Source organism: Homo sapiens, chromosome 9, assembly GCF_000001405.40.
Source record: "Homo sapiens chromosome 9, GRCh38.p14 Primary Assembly".
Classification (NCBI taxonomy): domain Eukaryota; kingdom Metazoa; phylum Chordata; class Mammalia; order Primates; family Hominidae; genus Homo; species Homo sapiens.
Window position 1 is genome coordinate 113790723 of NC_000009.12, and position 18799 is coordinate 113809521.

Here is an 18799-nt window from a genome sequence, read left to right on the forward strand (position 1 = left end):
AGGGAGGTGAAGAAGCTTCCCAAGGTCACACAGCTCACAAGGCAGGCAGCAGGGTATAAACCCGGGTCTGACCCCAAAACCGTCGTGCAAAATCCACCTTGCACATTGCTTCTGTCTGTGCCACCTGAAAGAGCTCTCACGTCCACTCCCAAAGACTAGCAAATGGGGGGAGGCAAAGGCTCAGAGAGGAAGGGGTTTGCCCCAGGTCTTGCAGCAAGTTCATGGCAGAGTGTGGCCAGGATCCCAGGTTGCTCATCATTGGCCCTCTCCTCTGTGCCCTAGAGTATGTACAGAAAATGATGCCTGTGGAAAGCTACCAATGAAGGTCCCTTCTGGTAAGACCATCTGCCCTAGATCTGCCTTGTAGGTCTGAGGTCCTTGTTCCCAGGAAGAGAGAGGCCTGGGGTGGCTTCAGGGTCAATAGATGCCACACAACATAAACAAGCAAAGAGAACATGTGAAACCAGCAAACATTGCACTGGTCACACAGTGAACATTTTCCTTTCTCTCCCCTTCTTTTAACCTTTAGAAATGCCCGCTGCAAGGAATAGCAACCATCCCGTAAATTAGGAACCCAGCAATTAGGAATACTTGGCCAGATATAATATACAAGCTTAGTTCATCAAAGGACTTTAGCAGTAAAATCTACCCACCCCAAAGCCTATGTCAAGTTGGTGAATGTATCAGTTAGCTACTGCTGTGTAACAAACCTCCTAAAAACTCAGGAGCTTAAAAACAATGATGTATTATCCCTTCCCCATCTACTGGTCAGCTGGGGCTTAATCTGGGCTGAGCTTTGCTGGGTGCCCCTTCTTCTTGCTGCAGGTCTGTGACTCAGCAGACAGCTCTGCTCCACGTGTCTCTCAGTCTTCTTGGACCAGCAGGTTGGCTGGGGCACAGTCCTTTCATGGATCTGGTAGAGGCTTAAGAGTGTAAGCAAGGCTGGGCACCGTGGCTCGCCTGAAATCCCAGCACTTTGGGAGGCTGTGGTGGGCAGATCACTGGAGGTTAGGAGTTCAAGACTGGCCCGGCCAACACGGTGAAACCCCGTCTCTACTAAAAATACAAAAACTAGCCAGGTGTGGTGGTGCACCCCTGTAATCCCAGCTACTTGGGAGGCTGAGGCAGGAGAATCACTTGAACCTGGGCGGCAGAGGTTGCAGTGAGCCGAGATCATGCCACTGCACTTCAGCCTGGGCAATGGAGCGAGACTCTGTCTCAAAAAAAAAAAAAAAGTATAAGCAGAAACATGCAAAAAAGGCCTGGGCTTGGGTCTGTCACTTCTGTCCACATGCCATTTGCCAAGTCACATGGCCAAGCCCAAGTCATATGGCAAGTGTGTGTATGCAGGGAGGGTTAAGAATTGGGAGACAAGGGCATTCAATTTACCGCAGTGGAATAAAACAGCAATGAAGTCATTTTCTTGTTTGAAAAAATCAGTATTTGATGGAGAAGGAGCTAGCAGCTGGGAAGATATGACTTAAAGTTTTAATGTATTACTCTGTAAAATGCAGATAATCACAAATAGCTCACAGGGCTGTTGTGAGGTTTAAATGAAATAATCCATCTAATTTACCCAGCACCAACCATGCCTGACAAGTCACAGGCACTCAATGACCACCCATCCCTAAGGCGACCGACTTGTGCCAGTTTACCCAGGACTGTCCATCCTGGGAACCCCCTCAGTCCCAGGCAAACCAAGACAGTTGGTCACCCTAACTATCCTCATCACTAAAATAATACGTGTGAGCTAATCTTTATTTGCCAGGCATACTGCCACGTATGTGGGGAAGATTCTCTCATTTACCCCTTACAACCACCGTACTCAGCAAGGGGCCACAATTTTGATGCTACTGCCTACAGAACTCAGGGAGCACCAGAGAACATGGAGGTCAAAGATAGAGTTTTTCATGGATTCTTCCCTCAAGGGGCTGACAATCTAGGAAGAAAGAAACAGATGAATAGTAACAAGCATCACACAAGGGAGAAAGTGATTCTGGCAGATCCATCTTCCTCAAGGATAGTAAGGTGGGGATTTTAAAAAATTAACATTCACGTTCCTTTATAACTACTTTTTTTTTTTTTGAGACAGGGTCTCACTCTGTCACCCAAGCTGGAGTGCAGTGGCATGATCGTGGCTCATTGCAGCCTCAACCTCCTGGGCTCAAGTGATCTGCCCACTTCAGCCTCCCAAGTAGCTGGGAGCACAGACGTGCACCACCACGGGCCCAGCCTGTAGCTACTTGCCTTGATAGCCAAGGTTGAGTTTGGCTGTGGAAATTTAGGGAAAATTATATCTGACAATGATTTCCTTGACAAAATGAATTTGACTTAGTTCTCCCATTGGGGAGTCTTGTTCTAAATCTATTTGTTTACAAATTGGAAATCCTTTAAGTCACCCGAGGGCTGGTGGAGGCTGTTCAGCCCCTTTACTCCCGGCAGCCCTGGGGATGAAGAAGAATCTGTTCTCGGGGTGCTCTGGGTGATGTCAGCATTCCCCCACTTGCTAAGAAAGGTATACGAAATCAAACTTATCAGTTCCACTCGTCACCTCTCTCCTCGCGGCTGGGCCCTTCACTTTTACGTTTTCATTGTTTTAAAAAGTCATAGACAAAGCATTATATTACCAGGAACACAACACACGCATGCAGCGTTACCCGGTGAAGCCAATTTTATACTCAGCCCTGATGTCTTCTGGAAGGGCCAAGCCCACAAAGGGCATTGAGGCACCTTGGGTGGACTGTGGTTTCTGAGAAGATCCAAAGGTGGACTTGGGCATTTAATGCCTCATGACCTTCAGCTGCGGAAACCAGAGGGCTCATCTGGCCAGGTTTCCACTCACCTTCCCTTCATTTCAGTTCGATAGTGAGTGTTCACTTTCTGGTCTTACTGGCCAAACTCAGGCTCCTTCTCAGAGCCTGCGAGTTCATTTGTCATTCACCCAGGTTTCATGGAGGGCTCTTGGGACCAGGAGGCCTACACTCAGCTGCACAGATAAACAGGTCAGTGTTGGAGACACGCAGCCCGACACGTGTATAAACAGCGAGGCAATGTCAGCCTTGAGAGGTCCAAAGAGCGGGCTGCAAAATGTGTGATGAGGGCAGGAAGGAAGGGGGCAGGGACTCAAGGGAGGCTTCTCAGAGGCGGCAGTATTGGGGCTGAGCCCAGCACATCTGCAGTCCCTCCTCCGTGAAAAGAAAATTAGGTTTTCAATCCCTGGCCTGCTTCTTATGGTCGGGGGCTTTAAGCAAGTCGTCTAAGCTTTCTGGACTCAGTTTCTACATCTGCAGAATGGAGAATGATGATTGTACCTAACTCGTGAAGGCGTCATGAGAATTAAATAAGACAACGTGTATCATGCACTCAGAACACGCAGTCGTTTATTTAACAAGTACTTACTAAGCACTGATTTGATGCCAGGCAGTGTTCTGGGCAACGCAGAACACAGAGGCAGACCCAGGCCCCACAGTGACTTCACAGGACCCGGAACATGGGTATGGGACGATTAAACGGGAGTTGTCATCATTATCATCGCACCTGCCTTAACCCAATGGGTCAAAACAGGGCCCAGAAGCAACACCACCCAGGTGGCCCCAGATCCCCAAACTCCCTCTGCCCTCAACTAGGAGGCACTGAATTAAAACTTTAACCAACACGTGCATAACAATAGCGAGGCAATATCAGCCTTGAGAGGTCTCATCTTCAAAACAAGAATGAGGGAATTAAGCTTTCTGAAAGCAGGAAGTTAGCCCAGCTTTTAGATGCAAAAAACAAATGTCAGGCTCCAGTTTGGAGAGAAGTCTTGGGACTGGAGGACCCTATCGTTCACCCCAGTTTCCACCTTCACGGTAAATATGTCGCCACCAACCTTGTAATGTTGGTAGTGATGGCCACTGGCAGCTGAATGTTCACAGCGTGCCAGGTGCTTACCTGGTCTGGCTTTAGCCCTCTACAACCTGTGAAATGCCCCCAGGGAGGTACTTTATATCAAGGCTCTCAAACGTTGGCAGGCATCAGACTCACCAGGAGGGTTTGGGAAACACCCCTAAGGTGTTTCAGTAGATCTGAGGTGGGGTCTGAGGTGGGGTCTGAGAATCTGCATTTGCAACAAGTTCCCAGGCAATACTGATGTTGCTGGTTCAGGGACCACTGGCTTAGAACTTTAACCCCATTTTACAGGTGAGGAAACTGAGGCTCCGCGAGGTAAAGTGACTAGTGCATTCACACAGCTAGAAAGGAGCAGGGCCTGTGGTGTGATCGACTGACCTGGTTTGCTTGGGACGGAGGGATTTCTGGGGACATGGGACTTTCAGTGCTAAAACCAGGACAGTCCCAGATAAACCAGGGCAGTTGGTCACCCTATTTTCAACCCAGGCCTGAGTGACTCCATTGCCGTGTCTAGAGGCACTTCAGAGTTTACAAAGGGCCTTTACATCCATTAATACTGTTGCTATTATTATTAATAGCCACTATTTATTAAAAGTGAATTATATATTCTAAGTGCTTTACATCCAAGATCACTCTGAATTCTCATAACACCCCTAAGAACTAGGAGTTATGTTTTCCATGTTGCAGTGGTAAACTGGGGCATAGAACAGGGTGATTTTTCCAGGTCACATGGCTACTAAGTGGCAGAGATGAGATTGAATGCTAGGCTCTGCCTTGTCTCTGCACGGGGCCTCCCAGTAGAAAGGTGAGCCTGAGGGACTGGGTGTGGAATGCAGTGTGGTGGTTCCCAGCCTTGGTTCTAGAACCAGAGTGTTCAAATCCCAGCTCTGATGCTTGCTGGTGGTACAATCATGGGTAAGTCACTCCAGGGGTTCAGTGTCCCCTACTTTAAAATGGAGATCATAATAACAGTGGCCTTGTTATTGTTGGAGTGAATGTGTACTATGGGCCAGAGTATCGTTGAAGGGTTAAGTGGGTTAATGCCAGAGGGAGTGCACAGAACAGGGCGTAGCACTGAAGGCTCAGTAAGTGTCTCCAGTCTGCCAGCCCACCCTGCAGACTTGGGACTTCCCAGCCTCCACAATTGATTAAAATCTCTCTTTCTCTCTGTCTCTGTCTATATGTGCTGTATCTTTATCTATCTGTCTATCTATTTACCTATCTATCTATCTATTTTTCTATCTATCTAGTCTGTCTATCATCTATCATCTATCTAATCTATCATCTATCCACCTATCTAGTCTGTCTGTCTAATCTATCCTCTATGTATTTATCATCTATCTAGTCTGTCTGTCTAATCTATCTATCTATCTAGTCGTCTGTCTAATCTAACATCTACCTATCTAGTCTGTCTAATCTATCGTCTATCTACCTAGTCATCTGTCTAATCTATCATCAATCTATCATCTATCTAGTCTGTTATCTGTTATTGTCTGTTATAGATTATTATCATAATCTATCATCAATCTATCATCTAATTTATCATCTATCCACCTATCTAGTCTGTCTAATCTATCATCTCTCTATTTATCATCTATCTATCTAGTCTGTCTGTCTAATTTATCTGTTATCTATCTAGTCATCTGTCTAATCTACCATCAATCTATCATCTATCTAATCTATCATTTATCTAGTCTGTCTGTCTATCTATCTATCTATCTGTCTATCTATCTATCTATCTATCTATCTTTCATCTCTCTCTCTCTCTCTCTCTCTCTCCTGTTGGTTCAGTTTCTCTAGAGAGCCCTGACTGATATACCCACCACCTCTCAGCAGCTCCCAGTCCTTATCTGAAAGATGAGGATGACTGCAGGATAGACCCCTATCCTGGTTTCTTCCAAAAACCTGTGGATGTATGTGAAACTCGGGCCAGAATTAGAAAGCCAAAGTCAGTCTGGGACATCCTTGGATTTCAGGAGCTCCATGAACTGTCTGAAATTTTATGTAACACTCTCATTTATTCATTCAAGAAATCATTATTGCTTGTCTCCTTGGGACCAGGCATTGTGCCAGATGCTGGGGATGCAGAGGGGAATGATTCAGAATGGGATGGTCAAGAAACAAGACAATCAGCAAGTGGCAACCAACAAATAGACAGTGACCCCTCGTGCCAAGCGTAGGTGGGAAGAGGACGAGAGCCGACAGGAAGGCCCTCAGCTCTAGACAGACTTCTGAGCTGGGGCCTGACAAAGGAGGGGGCACCAGCCAGCCCAGGAGGGAATGGGGTGGTGTGGAGGGAACAGCAGGATGTGCAAGGGCACTGCGTCAGGAAGGAGTTCAGAGAGACAGAGAAAAGACAGTCCAGGGTGGTGGGAAGGGAAGTGTGAGGCAGGGAGGAGACCGGAGAGCTAGGCTGGACTTGATCACAGGACTTGGGATTTTATCCCCAGGCCAATGGGAGCCATTGAAGGGTTTTGAGCAGGGGTGACGTGGTCCATTTGAGAGTTGCTCTTTGACTCCAGTGTGCCTGGATGTCCCTGGTGGGGGAGCGGGGTCCATGGAGAATGGTTCCTGGGTGCCTGCCTTCCTTTCAGCCAACTCTCCCAGGTATTCTGGGGTGGGAGAGACAGGTATCCCCTAGTGGACGAAGGAGGTGCCGCTGGAGAGTGATCAGGTAGGTTGAGAGTTTTGGGGAAACTGGGGCCCCCAGTTCCTCCCCTGCTTCCCACCGCATCCCATTGTCGTTTGACCGGGCTCAGGAATTCAATTGTGGCATCAGGTGAGGTATAGTGAATGATTGTAATGAAAGGTTTGTCAATGTTTCCACTGGAAAGGCAATTTTCCCACGTCGTCTGTTTTGTATTTTTTTCCCCCTCTTTCTTTCCTGGGTATAAAGGAGCCTGGTCAGGACTACTGATTGTGCATGCGAGACAGGTCTTGAGGTCGTTATGCAAGTGTTAATGTTCAGTTACAATATACAGTAATGAATTGGGACTTTCGGAGTAATAGCAGTCTGTGCTATTGGCAACAATGAGTGTATTCATCTTAATTTTTAACATCTATTGCCTTGGAGAAGCTTTTATAATTAAATGTTTGGTTGCACCAGCAAATAAGAGGAAGGAAGTTTCCTTCCATGGAAAGGAAAAGCCTTCCTATATTCATCCAGCAACAATTCTGGCCCTGAAAACACAGGCAGTTACTATTGCTTTACCCACAGATGTAGTGAGAGTCAGATTTCAGTCCATTACAAAGAGGAACAGAGGCGTTTTAGGATGATTACAATAATCTGGCGATAGACCAAACTCCTTTTTGAGGTAGTGAGTTCCCCATTGCTGGTGGTATTCAAGTGTAGCCTATGAACTGATAAGCTGTAGAGGGGATTCTTGCATTAGAGAAGCGTTTTGTTTTTGTTTTGTTTTGTTTTGTTTTTTGAGTCAGAATCTTGCTCTGTTGCCCAGGCTGGAGTACAGTGGCACGATCTCGGCTGACTGCAATCTCTGCCTTCTGGGTTCAAGCGATTCTCATTCCTGATATATCTTCCCAAGTAGCTGAGACCACAGGCATGCACCACCACGTCTGGCTAAGTTTTTGTCTTTTAGTAGAGATGGGGTTTTGTTATGTTGATTAGGCTGGTCTTGAACTCCTGGCCTCAAGTGATCCGCCTGCCTCTGCCTCTCAAAGTGTGGGAATTACAGGTGCGAGCCATGACGCTCAGCCTCGAGAAGGGTTTCTTATTGTCAGGGTGTGGGGTTTTGTGGATGAGACCCACAGAAACATCTTTTAGCATGAGCTGCAAGGAAGGTTCTATGGGGAATTTTTCACCAATTTACAGGACTTTAGTGGCACCTGCCTGGTGACAATAATGTGCTCCTCTTAGGTGACTCATTCATTCTGTTCTTTTCCAGTTGTTAATTCCTGCAGGCCTGGCAATATGATGTTTTCTGAGTCATTGTATATATTTCAGGGTAATAAAGCTAAATCTTCTTTAACCTAATTCTAAACTTCAGGCTTGTTGCTCTTCTGATCAGCCTTCTCAAGCTCCGTGAGGTTTGGCAGCAATTTTCCTGTGTTTCAAAGAAGAGCCTCCAGAGAGAGCGCAAAGGGGCATGGACCAGAGAGTTAAGAAGGACTCAGTGCAGGATGTTCCCTCTTCATTTACTGCACAGGGACCTCACCTCTGGAGTGGCATCTCCACCTCCTTCTATATGTCAGCAGCCAACTTCGAGCCAATGTTGTATTGTTTTAGAACTACTGCAGGGATTTCTGGAATTCTTCATGCAAACTTCAGGACTATCAGTCACTCCCTGGCTGCATGAATGAACTGCGGAAAAAAGTGGGTTTCAGTTTTTAGAAAAGCCCCAAGCTAGGCCAGGCATGGTGGCTCACGTCTGTAATCCCAGCACTTTGGGAGGCAGAGGCAGAGGATCACTTGAGCCCAGGAGTTCAAGACCAGCCTGGGCAACACAGGGAGACCCCATCTCTATTTTTTTTAAGTTATCTAGACATAATGGCCTGCACCTATAATCCCAGCTACTCAGGAGGCTGAGGTAGGAAGATGGCTTGAGCTGGGGAGGTCAAGGCTGCAGTGAGCTGTGATTGTCCCACCGAACTCGAGCTTGGGTGACACAGCGAGATCCTGTCTCATTTGAAAAAGAAAAAAGAAAAGCAAAGCCCCATGCTGACCTTTGTGCAAGGGGTCACAGTGCCATTCTAGGCTTAGAGGGCCTTCATCCAACATATGCCCACAGAGGGCCACAGCTGGGAGAGCCCAAGCTGGTGAACAAGGAAGATGCAGGCCCTGTCCTTGTGGTGAGTCTATTTGCTTCCCTGTCTTTCTCCTGCTAGACTGTGGCTTCTCTCTTCCACTCTTCATGCCCTATGCTGCCCAGCTCAGTGCCTGGCACTCAGAAGCATCAGTGAAATGTTTGTGAAATGAATGAATGAATGAATGACAACCACTCCCCTTTGCCTCCTGAAATCAGCGAAAACAGAGCCTTCAATCCCTTTCTTCTCCTCTCCCTCCCTCGTTTAAGAGCATCTAGCTGGGCGCGGTGGCTCACGCCTGTAATCCCAGCACTTTGGGAGGCCGAGGTGGGTGGATCACGAGGTCAGGAGTTCAAGATCAGCCTGACCAACATGGTGGAACCCCTTCTCTACTAAAAATACAAAACCTAGGTGGGTGTGGTGGTGCACACCTGTAGTCTCAGCTACTCAGGAGGCTGAGGCAGAAGAATCTCTTGAGCCTGGGAGGCAGAGCCTGCAGCAAGCCGAGATCGTGCCACTGCTCTCTAGCCTGGGCTACAGAGCAAGACTCTGTCTCAGACAAAAAAAAAAGCATCTAATTGCACTGAACCATAATTATCTGGTGTGCTTGCCACACTTTCCAGCTGATAAGGCCCTTTTTTCATCATCTCATCTGACCTGTCCATTGCAAGGTTTAGGAAACACAGAGTCTCTGGAGCAGTAGGTAATAGAGAGAGGACCCCAATTCTGGTCCTCCAATCCCCAGACAGAGCCACTGGCAACTATGCATTTCCAAGTCCTGCCACTTCTAAGACCCTATCCTCAGAAAACAGCAGCTGTGGAGGGGCCCACTCCTCACTTCCGTCTCACGCAGACCACCCACGCTTTGGCCCCTGCCTTCCCCTTCTGATGTCCTCGTAACTGCCCCAGGACTTGTTCTGTAAGGGGCTTTTCCTTGGCAGGCAATTACCTGAGTTCATATGGTTAATTGAAATATTCCTTTTCCTAGAGTTTTAATTCATCCAGCGTAGTTTCAGGAGCCACAGATAATAAGACCTAATTTATAATTAGGGCTTATCAAGAATCAGCTAATTTCTAGACCCCTGATTCCCAAGGAGGGAGTGTAGAGTGGGGGCCTCTCTTCCCTTTCCAGGGAGTTGCTATCCACAAAGCTCAAAGAGGCACCAGGGAGGAAAGAGAACTAATTGGTAGCTGGCCCTCCATCTTGGACAATTTATTAATTGGATTATGGGAAGTCTCAGGCCCCAGGCAAATCCCAAAGAGGCGCTGCTGCCTCCCCTGGTTTACTATGAGAATATTAGACACAAAGACACGAGACCTGGGTTCCACGCAGTCTTTCAGGAGCTAGGGATCTTTAAATAAGTCACTGAACACTGCCTTGCCTCAGTTTCCCCAGCTATACAATGACCAGGATCATCCCTGCCCTGCTGGGCTCTCAGAGATCTCCTGGGAATTACACAGATGACTGGGCAAGTACATTTCAGGAGCTGTCATGATTATTTTAGGGCCTGTGTGCCTGGAATGGGCCCAAAACACAGCCAGAAAAAGGTGTCCCAACCCAGGAAACAAGGTCTCAGAGAGACTGAGACTGGCCAAGACCCACAGGCAGTAAGAGTTGGGGGTCCGCCTTTGACCTCAGTTGGCCTTGTACCCGGTTTCCTGATCTTTCCTTACATCTGCAGATCTTTGGGGTCTTAGACCCAGTCTCCCTATTGCTTACCTGCTGCAAGCTTCACTTATCCCCTGAAGCCTCTCAAACATCCACCCAGCCAGTGCGAGTACAAGAAAGGGGTCATGCAGGGACCGTGGAGTGAGGACAACTTTGGAATCACATAGGCCTGATTTAAAACTCACACTCTGCCCTTTACTAGCTGTATACATCAGGATTCTTTGGGTTTCATGGGACAGAAACCCAGTTCTAATAACCTTAAGCTAAAGAGAAATATTAGCTAATGTATCCGGAAACTCTAGAGTTACTAGCTTTAGGTAGGGCTGGATCCAGGTGCTCAATGATGGTGACAGACCCCTCTTTCTTGCTTCAGCTCTTATTGTGATTTTTTTCTATGTTTACTTCATTCTTTTTTTTTTTTTTTTTTTGAGATGGATTCTCACTCTGTTGCCCAGGCTGGAGTGCAGTGGTGCCATCTTGGCTCACTGCAACCTCCACCTCCCATGTTCAAGTGATTCTTCTGCCTCAGCCTCCCATGTAGCTGGGATTACAGGCGCCCACCAACACACCCAGCTAATTTTTCGTATTTTTAGTAGAGATGGGGTTTCACCACGTTGGCCAGGCTGGTATCAAACTCCTGACCTCAGGTGACCTGCCCACCTTGGCCTCCCAAAGTGCTGGGATTACAGGCATGAGCCGCTGCGCCCAGCCGACTTCTTTCTATAGCAGGATTTCACCAGTGGTGGGAAAAGATGGTGGTACCTCATCCCTGGGGTGAGGGAGAGAAGGCGGAATAAGCTCACTACATAGACTGAGCAGGATTCCCTTGCAGCTGAGAAGAGTGGTTCTGCAAAGAAAGGGAGATTGGCAGGACAAAAAGCCAGGTCATCCCAAGCTAATCACGCACGCTGTGTGATCCTCTGTCTTCCTATCTTTACAACAGGATCGAAAACCATATTGCAGAATAAAAGAGTAATATATCAAAGTCTATTGTATTTCCATACACTAGCAATAAACAATCTGAGAACAAATTAAGAAAAACAATTCAATGTATAATAGCTTCAAAAGGAATAAAATACTTAGAAATAAATTTAACAAAAGAAGTGCAACACTTGCACACAAAAGCTACAAAACATTGTTGAAACAAATTAAAGACCTAAATAAATATAAAGACAACCTGTGTTCATGGAAGATTTCACATTGTTAAGAAGGCAGGACTCATCAGATTGCTCTATGATTGCTTTTTGTCCTGCTCTACATATTCAGTGCCATCCATGCAAAATTCCAAATTATTTTCTTCAGAAATGGATAAGCTGATCCTAAAATTCACATGGAAGTACAAGGGACCAAGAATAGCCAAAACAATCTTGAAAAACAAAATTGGAGAACTCACACTTTCTGATTTCAAAACTTTCTCAAAACTACAGTGATCAAGACAGTGTGATACTGGCCTAGGATAGACATAGGGTCAATGGCACTGACTTGAGAGTACAGAACTAAACCCATATATCTATGGTCAACTGATTTTCAACAAGGATGCTGAGACAATTAAATAGGGAGAGAATAGTTTTTTGAATATATGGCACTGCAACAATTGGCCATCCACATGTGAAAGAAGGAAGTTGGACCCTTACCTCACAAATTAGTTAAAAATTAACTGAAAAAGGATCGTAGATCTTCTAGCGAAAACTATAAAACTCTTAAAAGGGGCTGGGTGCAGTGGCTCATGCTTGTAGTCCCAGCAATTTGGGAGGCCAAGGCAGGGGGATCACGAGGTCAGGAGATGGAGACCATCCTGGCCAACACGGTGAAACCCTGTCTCTACTAAAAATACAAAAAAAAATTAGCTGGGTGTGGTGGTGCACACCTGTAGTCCCAGTTACTCGGGAGGCTGAGGCAGGAGAATCACTTGAACCCAGAAGGCGGAGGTTGGACTAGGCAATGGGTTTCTTAGATATGGCACCAAAACATAAGTGACCAAAAAGTGGGTAAATTGAACTTCATCAAACATTAAAAACATTTAGTTTTTTGAAACTTCTAATTTTTACTTAAAAGGGCACTATCAAGAAAGTAATAAAGAGAATGGGAGAAAATATTTACAAATCATATATCTGATAAGAGACTTTTATACAGAATATATAAAGAAATATTACAATTCAATCAAAAAACAAATAATTAAAAATTGGATTTATAATCAAATATCAAAAGATTTAAATGTGCATTTCTCCATGGAAGATATACAAATGACTGATAAGTACGTGAAAAGACATTCATCATTAATCACTCAGGAAATGCAAATCAAAACCACAAGGAGATAGCACTTCATGTCCACTAGGATGGCCATAGTCCAGAAGATGGTCATTAACAGGCATTGGCAAAGACGTGAAGAAATTGGAAGCTTCATTGGTTGCCGGTAGGTACAATGTCGCAGTCACTTTGGAAAACGGTATCACAGTTCTTCAAAAGGCTATGCATAGAGTTACTACATAACCCAGCAATTCCACTCCCCATTTCAAAAGAATTTAAACCATATGTGTACACAAAAACATCTCCATAAATGTTCATAACAGCGCTGTTCATAATAGACAAAAAAAAAAAAAAAAAAAGGAAAACCTCAAATGTCCATCGACTGATCATTGGATAAAGCAAGACGTATTTTATCCACATGATTGAATACTATTCAGCCATAAAATGCAATAAAGTACTGATCACATGCTACGACACGGATACACCTTGAAAACATCATGTTATATGAAAGAAACCAGTCACGAAAGGCCACATATTATACGATTCCATTTATATGCAATGTCTAGATTTGAAATCTCTATATAGACAGAAAGTGGATTAGCGGTAGCCAGGGGTTGGGAGAATGGGGAATTGGGAGTGACTGTTCAGGTATGTAAAGTTTCTTCATGGGTGATGAAAATATCCTGAAATTAGATAATGGTATGATTGCACAACTTGGTGACTATACAGGCCAGGCACTGTGGCTCGTGTCTGCAGTCCCAATTCTTTGGGAGGGCAAGGCAGGAGGATGGCTTGAGGCCAGGAGTTCAAGACCAGCATGGGCAACATAGCAAGACTCCATCTCTACAAAAAAATACAAAAAAAAAAAAAAAAAAAGCCGGGTGTGGTGGCACATACCTATAGTCCTAGCTACTCAGGAGGCTGAGGCAGGAGGATCACTTGACCCCAGGAGTTTGAGGTTACAGTGAGCTATGATTGTGCCACTGCACTCCAGCCTGGGTGACAGAGCAAGACCCGTCTCTAAAAAAAAAAAAAACAAAAACAAAACTTAGTGAATATGAGACAGGAATGGCACTAGATAGTCACAGGAGGGTGTAAAAACCCAGACAACAGCTAAAACAGGAACTAGGCAAAGAAACCACAGGATAACAGAAAACACAAAATAAAGGAGAGAAAATGGGCATAACTCTTCTGGGCAAACCCAAATAAGGGAGAAACGGAGAGGAAAACGGGGTTCCTGACATTCCCTTGTTTTCTAGAATACCTAATAATTATTCCATCCTCTAATTAAAGAAACACCCATAAAATTAAAAAACCCAACGCCATTGCTCATGACTTGTTCTCACACGTCCACCTGCACTTCTCTCTTAAGTGTGTACTTTCCCTTTGCAATAAAAGCTTCTTGCCTTTCGATTCATTCTGACTTATCCCTGAAATTTTTCTCGACACTAGCGGAGGCTGGGGTCTCACTGGCATTCAGGGACCCTCCTGAGCCCTCCGGAAACAAATATACTAAAACCACTGACTTATACACTTTAAAAAGGTGAATTGATGGTATGTGCATTATATCTCAATAAGGCTCTTATTTTTTATTTATTTATTTATTTTTTTGAGAAGGAGTTTTGCTCTTGTTGCCCAGGCTGGAGTGCAATGGCGCAATCTCGGCTCACTGCAACCTCCGCCTCCTGGGTTCAAGTGATTCTTCTGCCTCAGCCTCCCGAGTAGCTGGGATTACAGGCATGCGCCACCACGCCCGGTTGATTATTTTTAGTAGAAGCGGGGTTTCTCCATGTTGGTCAGGCTGGTCTCGAACTCCCAACCTCAGGTGATCTGCCTGCCTCAGCCTCCCAAAGTGCTGGGATTACAGGCGTGAGCCACTGCGCCTGGCAAGGCTCTTATTTTTTAAAGTAGTGTCAAACACCTACCACACAGAGTCATTGTGGGGCTGATGTGAATTACTTCGTCTAAAGCCCCTGGCACAGTTTGAGGCACACAGTAAGTACTGAGTAAGTCTTAGTTTTCTTTCCTTTCCAAATAAAAACTCCCTAACTCCCCTGCCTCTCCTCCACCATCACCAACCCTTTTTCAGCAATTCCACCCTGGTTTCTAAGGCAGAACTTTGAGGCATTCCATAAAGAAGGCTGTGCTGCACTTGGCTACCCACAGAGCAGCCAGGGTCATTCTTAAGATGGCTAGTCTGGTCTTCCTAATATTAATAAGATATTCATTTCCCTAAGAATGCATCAACCTCTGTAGCCATCCTGGAAACATGGGAGGGGGCTAATGCAGCTCTATTAATCCAAGCAGGCCTCACATCCACTTTGATTCAAAGGCTTCATTCTGATCAGTTTCCACAAAAGGGATGGTTTATTAGTCGGTGATGACAGGTGAAGTGAACTCAGGTACTGAGCGTTTGGCTAAGGATGACAACGAGGCTATTTTAAGTCATTGAAGTTCAAGGGTATCTGTCTCAGCGCCTTTGTTTAAATTGATTTGCAGTCCTGATCGCTTGACCTTGCTGCATAAAATAGTTTCTAAGGGGAAAAATATAAGAGCGCAATTCTAACCAAGGGAACAGATGTGTCCCAGCTTGCCCACCCTGCCTCACACCAGCCAAACCTACCCACCCCGCTGACCTTGAATGTGGGTGCGGATGGTGACATGGTCATCATGCAGCAGGAACAGGAAGGAGCAGAGAATGGCCCAGCAGAATGCTCCAGCCATCTGAGTGGGGAAGGCCCAGAAAAGGGGAGGATTGCCCAAGGTTGGGAAATGAATCAGTGACAAAATTAGGATTTTAATCCAGGTCGGTGCAACTCAGACTTCTCCTCTCAATTCCTATTTAAAAAAATGTTTAATATTTATTAAGTGCTTACCACGTTCCAGGCACTCTCTAATGCTTTATGTATATTAGCCCATTTAATTTATACAACAGCCAACAAGAAACAATTATGGATGTTTTTGTTTTACAGATGAAGAAACAGAGAATCCCCATTTTATAGGCAGCTTATTGGGGTGTCCAACCGTTTGGCTTTCCTGGGCCACACTGGAAGAAGAAGAATTGTCTTGGGCCACAGATAAAATACACTAACCCTAACGATAACTGATGAGCTGAAAAAAAAATCACAAAAATATCTCATAATGTTTTAAGAAAGTTTATGAATTTGTGTTGGGCTGCATTCAGAGCCGTCCTGGGCCATGTGCAGCCTGTGGGCCGGGGGTTGGACAAGCTTGGCTTAAGTAATTTGCCCAAGGTCACAGGGCGAGTAAGATGGCAGAGATGGAATTTGAACCCCTTGGAGTAGGACACTACAACCAGCCTCTCAGCCACCACCCATTCCATCTCTATTTGTTTATTGCTTTGTGAAAGAAAACAGGTCTAAGCAAGGGTCTTGCCAGATCTAAGCAAGACAGTTTGGCTGTCTACATGGACCAAGTTAGCCTGGTTATTGTCACATCCCCCAAGCACTTCATAATGGTCATATAATATTTACTTATTTTTTTTTAGATGGAGTTTCACTCTTTTTGCCCAGGCTGGAGCGCAGTGGCATGATCTTGGCTCACTGCAGCCTCCACCTCCTGAGTAGTTGTGATTACAGGTATGTGCCACCACACCCAGCTAATTTTGTATTTTTAGTAGAGCTGGGATTTCACCATGTTGGTCAGGCTGGTCTCGAACTCCTGACTTCAGGTGATCCGCTGGCCTCAGCCTCCCAAAGTGCTGGGATTACACGCTTGAGCCACTGCTCCTAGCCACATCATTTCTCGAAATCAGTCCTCTACCTAGGTCTTCTGGAGTGCCCGAAGCAGCACTGATTAACCAGTAAGAAACGTGCTGCACCTGACAGTATTTCTTGGCGACATCCAAACAAGCTACCCCACCCCACTTCCCTCTGACCAGTCTAAGATGTGCATCTCCAATCCACTCTTTCAGCCTTTAGCCTGCTGGAGGTAAAGCCTGTGGCTAAATCCAGCCTGCTGGGGATTGCTACTTGTAATGGGCAGAAGGAGCACTGGATTGGGAATCTGGGCATCCATGTGAAAATCCTGTGTGTCCTTGAGTGAGTGGCTTAACCTCTCTGGCCCTCAATTTTCTCATATGTAAGATGGATTTAAGAATACTTGCTTTTCTCTCACGGTTGTTCTGAGGATTAAGAGAACTTGCCTGTCATGGGTGGATTTTGAACCATGGAAAGGATCATGCATTTAGGAGATACTCCGAAAACAGAGCCCTCTTCCAAGTGACGAGGTGTAATGAGAGAGAGTGACCAGTAGGTGGCAGTGCTTCAAAGCAGCCTGTGGGATCCCAGAAGGAACTTCCTATTAACCCTTCCTCATTAGGCGGATAGAACCTTAGCCCCCAACCCCCAGCACACCCCGGTAAAGGTCATCGTGAAGCTCAGATTGCAGAAGTGCCACTTCCAAGGTTCCACGACGACACAGTGGCAGAGGCAGGATCAGACTCTGGTTGGGGTGGTCTCTGCATGTCTCCCTTCATTCAACCCCTATTTATTAGGTTCCTAGGCGGCGCAGAGACTCACGTTAGACCTTCCTGTGAAGGGGGAAGGTCTGCTCCAGCCTGGGGGGTTTACAGGCCATTGGACCTCCACACCTAGAGTCCCCCATTGCTTCCTGGCCCTCACTCACGGGGATGAGCACTCACACAAAACTCAACCAAAGCTGGACACCTGCCAGCGGGAGGTAATGGGCAGCAGATGGATTAGCGACCAGGAGATCTAGTTCTAACCCGTTTCACCTCTAGCTTGCTCTGTGACGTTGGCCAAGGCCCTCATTAGTAGGTCATGAAATCAATTTAGTGGATGTTGAATTGGGGAGAAAAGGAATTTAAAAAATACTAGCATATCTCTCTGTATCTGCCACAGTACAGGTAAACATTTTTTTTAATTCTGCTTTTATGCACACACACACACCCTGATATAAAAGGCATTTCACCTTGTGCACCACAGTCTCATAGTTCTGGGAACAACGTGTGAGAGACTCAAATTCTGCATCCTGAGATCCAACGTCTCCTCTCCCCCATCTTCACATCTACAAGCCGACCCCAAGCTGCCCAGGAATCCCTATCTGGGTATATTCCTACAGTTCGCTGCTTCAGCAGTGGGAAAGTTCTTATAAGCTGATGATGCACAAGATACCATCTTATCCTCAGTGCAGTCACGCAGGGTAGATATTCCCCCATCTACAGATGAGAAAACTGAGTCTTAGGTCCCACAGCCAGCATGTGCTAGAGGCAGGACTTGCCTCTCAGGGTCAGCCTCACCCTGGGAAGTTGCTGACTCCACTGACTCCTGCTGCCTTGAACACACAGGGCCCAGAGGCCACTTCTCCTAGGAAAAGAAACAACCGCTTACGGGTGCTTCCATTTCTCTTATTCCAAGTCACTTTTATTTTCTCTCTCTCTTTCAAGTTTGATTGAATTTACACTTAATGAATCCAACTTTATCATTTAGGGGATGTTGGAGCAATAAGACTTGGCAAGGCATGAGTGATGATGCAATAAGTTCTGCTGGGAGCCGGGAGCCATCCTGCTCCCTCCCTTGAGTGATGGCTGTGTGACTCAGGCCCTAAGAAAGCCACCACACTCCCCGAAAGGAGCAAGACTAGGTGGAGATGGGGTCATGTTACTTAGGCCAAGGACTCAGAACAGGTCTTTTAGATTAGGATGGGTGGACAGGGGTGGGAAATGGAGGGTCAGCAAGATGGGAGAAGTAGAAGCCAAGGCTGCCAGTGAGCTGCTTGCTCTATGGCCTTGGGTAAAAAGTGACTTTACCTCTCTGATCCTCAGTTCCTCCATCTGTAAAATGGGGCAATGGCCCAAAGATGTTGTTTTGTAAATTGTAGAAGGAGGCTCATGCTCTTATCAGAATTTCAAAGGTGGAAGATTGACAGCAAAATAAGCTGCCTGGAAGTCCATGTCATTTCCCTTTACTGGCTGAATGATGATAAAGGACAGTTCCTCTATCCGAGCCCCGCACACGTGTAAGGCTGGTGCAAGTGCCTCTGGGCAGGACGGAGGGTAACATCTTTGATGAGGAAATAAAATGAAAAAATAAAAATTAAAGTGAGATTTTACTTTGGTTAATAAAAACGAGGCACGCACAGAAAAGAAGTGGCTGGGTGAATGTGCCCAAAATGTTCACATTCAGGGGCAGAATTTATTTTCCTCCTGATTTTTATCTGGATTTTCTAAACTTTTTTTTTAAAAGATGA

General features: G+C 45.9%; 3 annotated features.

Annotated features, from left to right (window-relative positions):
* Nucleotides 1446–1656: a silencer, noted in NCBI's record as "fragment chr9:116554448-116554658 (GRCh37/hg19 assembly coordinates)". NCBI's record gives its function as "represses an EF-1alpha promoter that drives an FKBP-Casp9 reporter gene in an ReSE screen in phorbol 12-myristate 13-acetate-treated (for megakaryocytic differentiation) K562 erythroleukemia cells {active_cell/tissue: K562(+PMA)}" and the evidence as "EXISTENCE:reporter gene assay evidence [ECO:0000049][PMID:32094911]".
* Nucleotides 3527–4415: an enhancer, noted in NCBI's record as "H3K4me1 hESC enhancer chr9:116556529-116557417 (GRCh37/hg19 assembly coordinates)". NCBI's record gives its function as "activates a minimal SCP1, AML or CMV promoter by ChIP-STARR-seq in primed H9 embryonic stem cells {active_cell/tissue: H9 hESC(primed)}" and the evidence as "EXISTENCE:reporter gene assay evidence [ECO:0000049][PMID:30033119]".
* Nucleotides 8339–8553: a silencer, noted in NCBI's record as "fragment chr9:116561341-116561555 (GRCh37/hg19 assembly coordinates)". NCBI's record gives its function as "represses an EF-1alpha promoter that drives an FKBP-Casp9 reporter gene in an ReSE screen in HepG2 liver carcinoma cells and K562 erythroleukemia cells {active_cell/tissue: HepG2 | K562}" and the evidence as "EXISTENCE:reporter gene assay evidence [ECO:0000049][PMID:32094911]".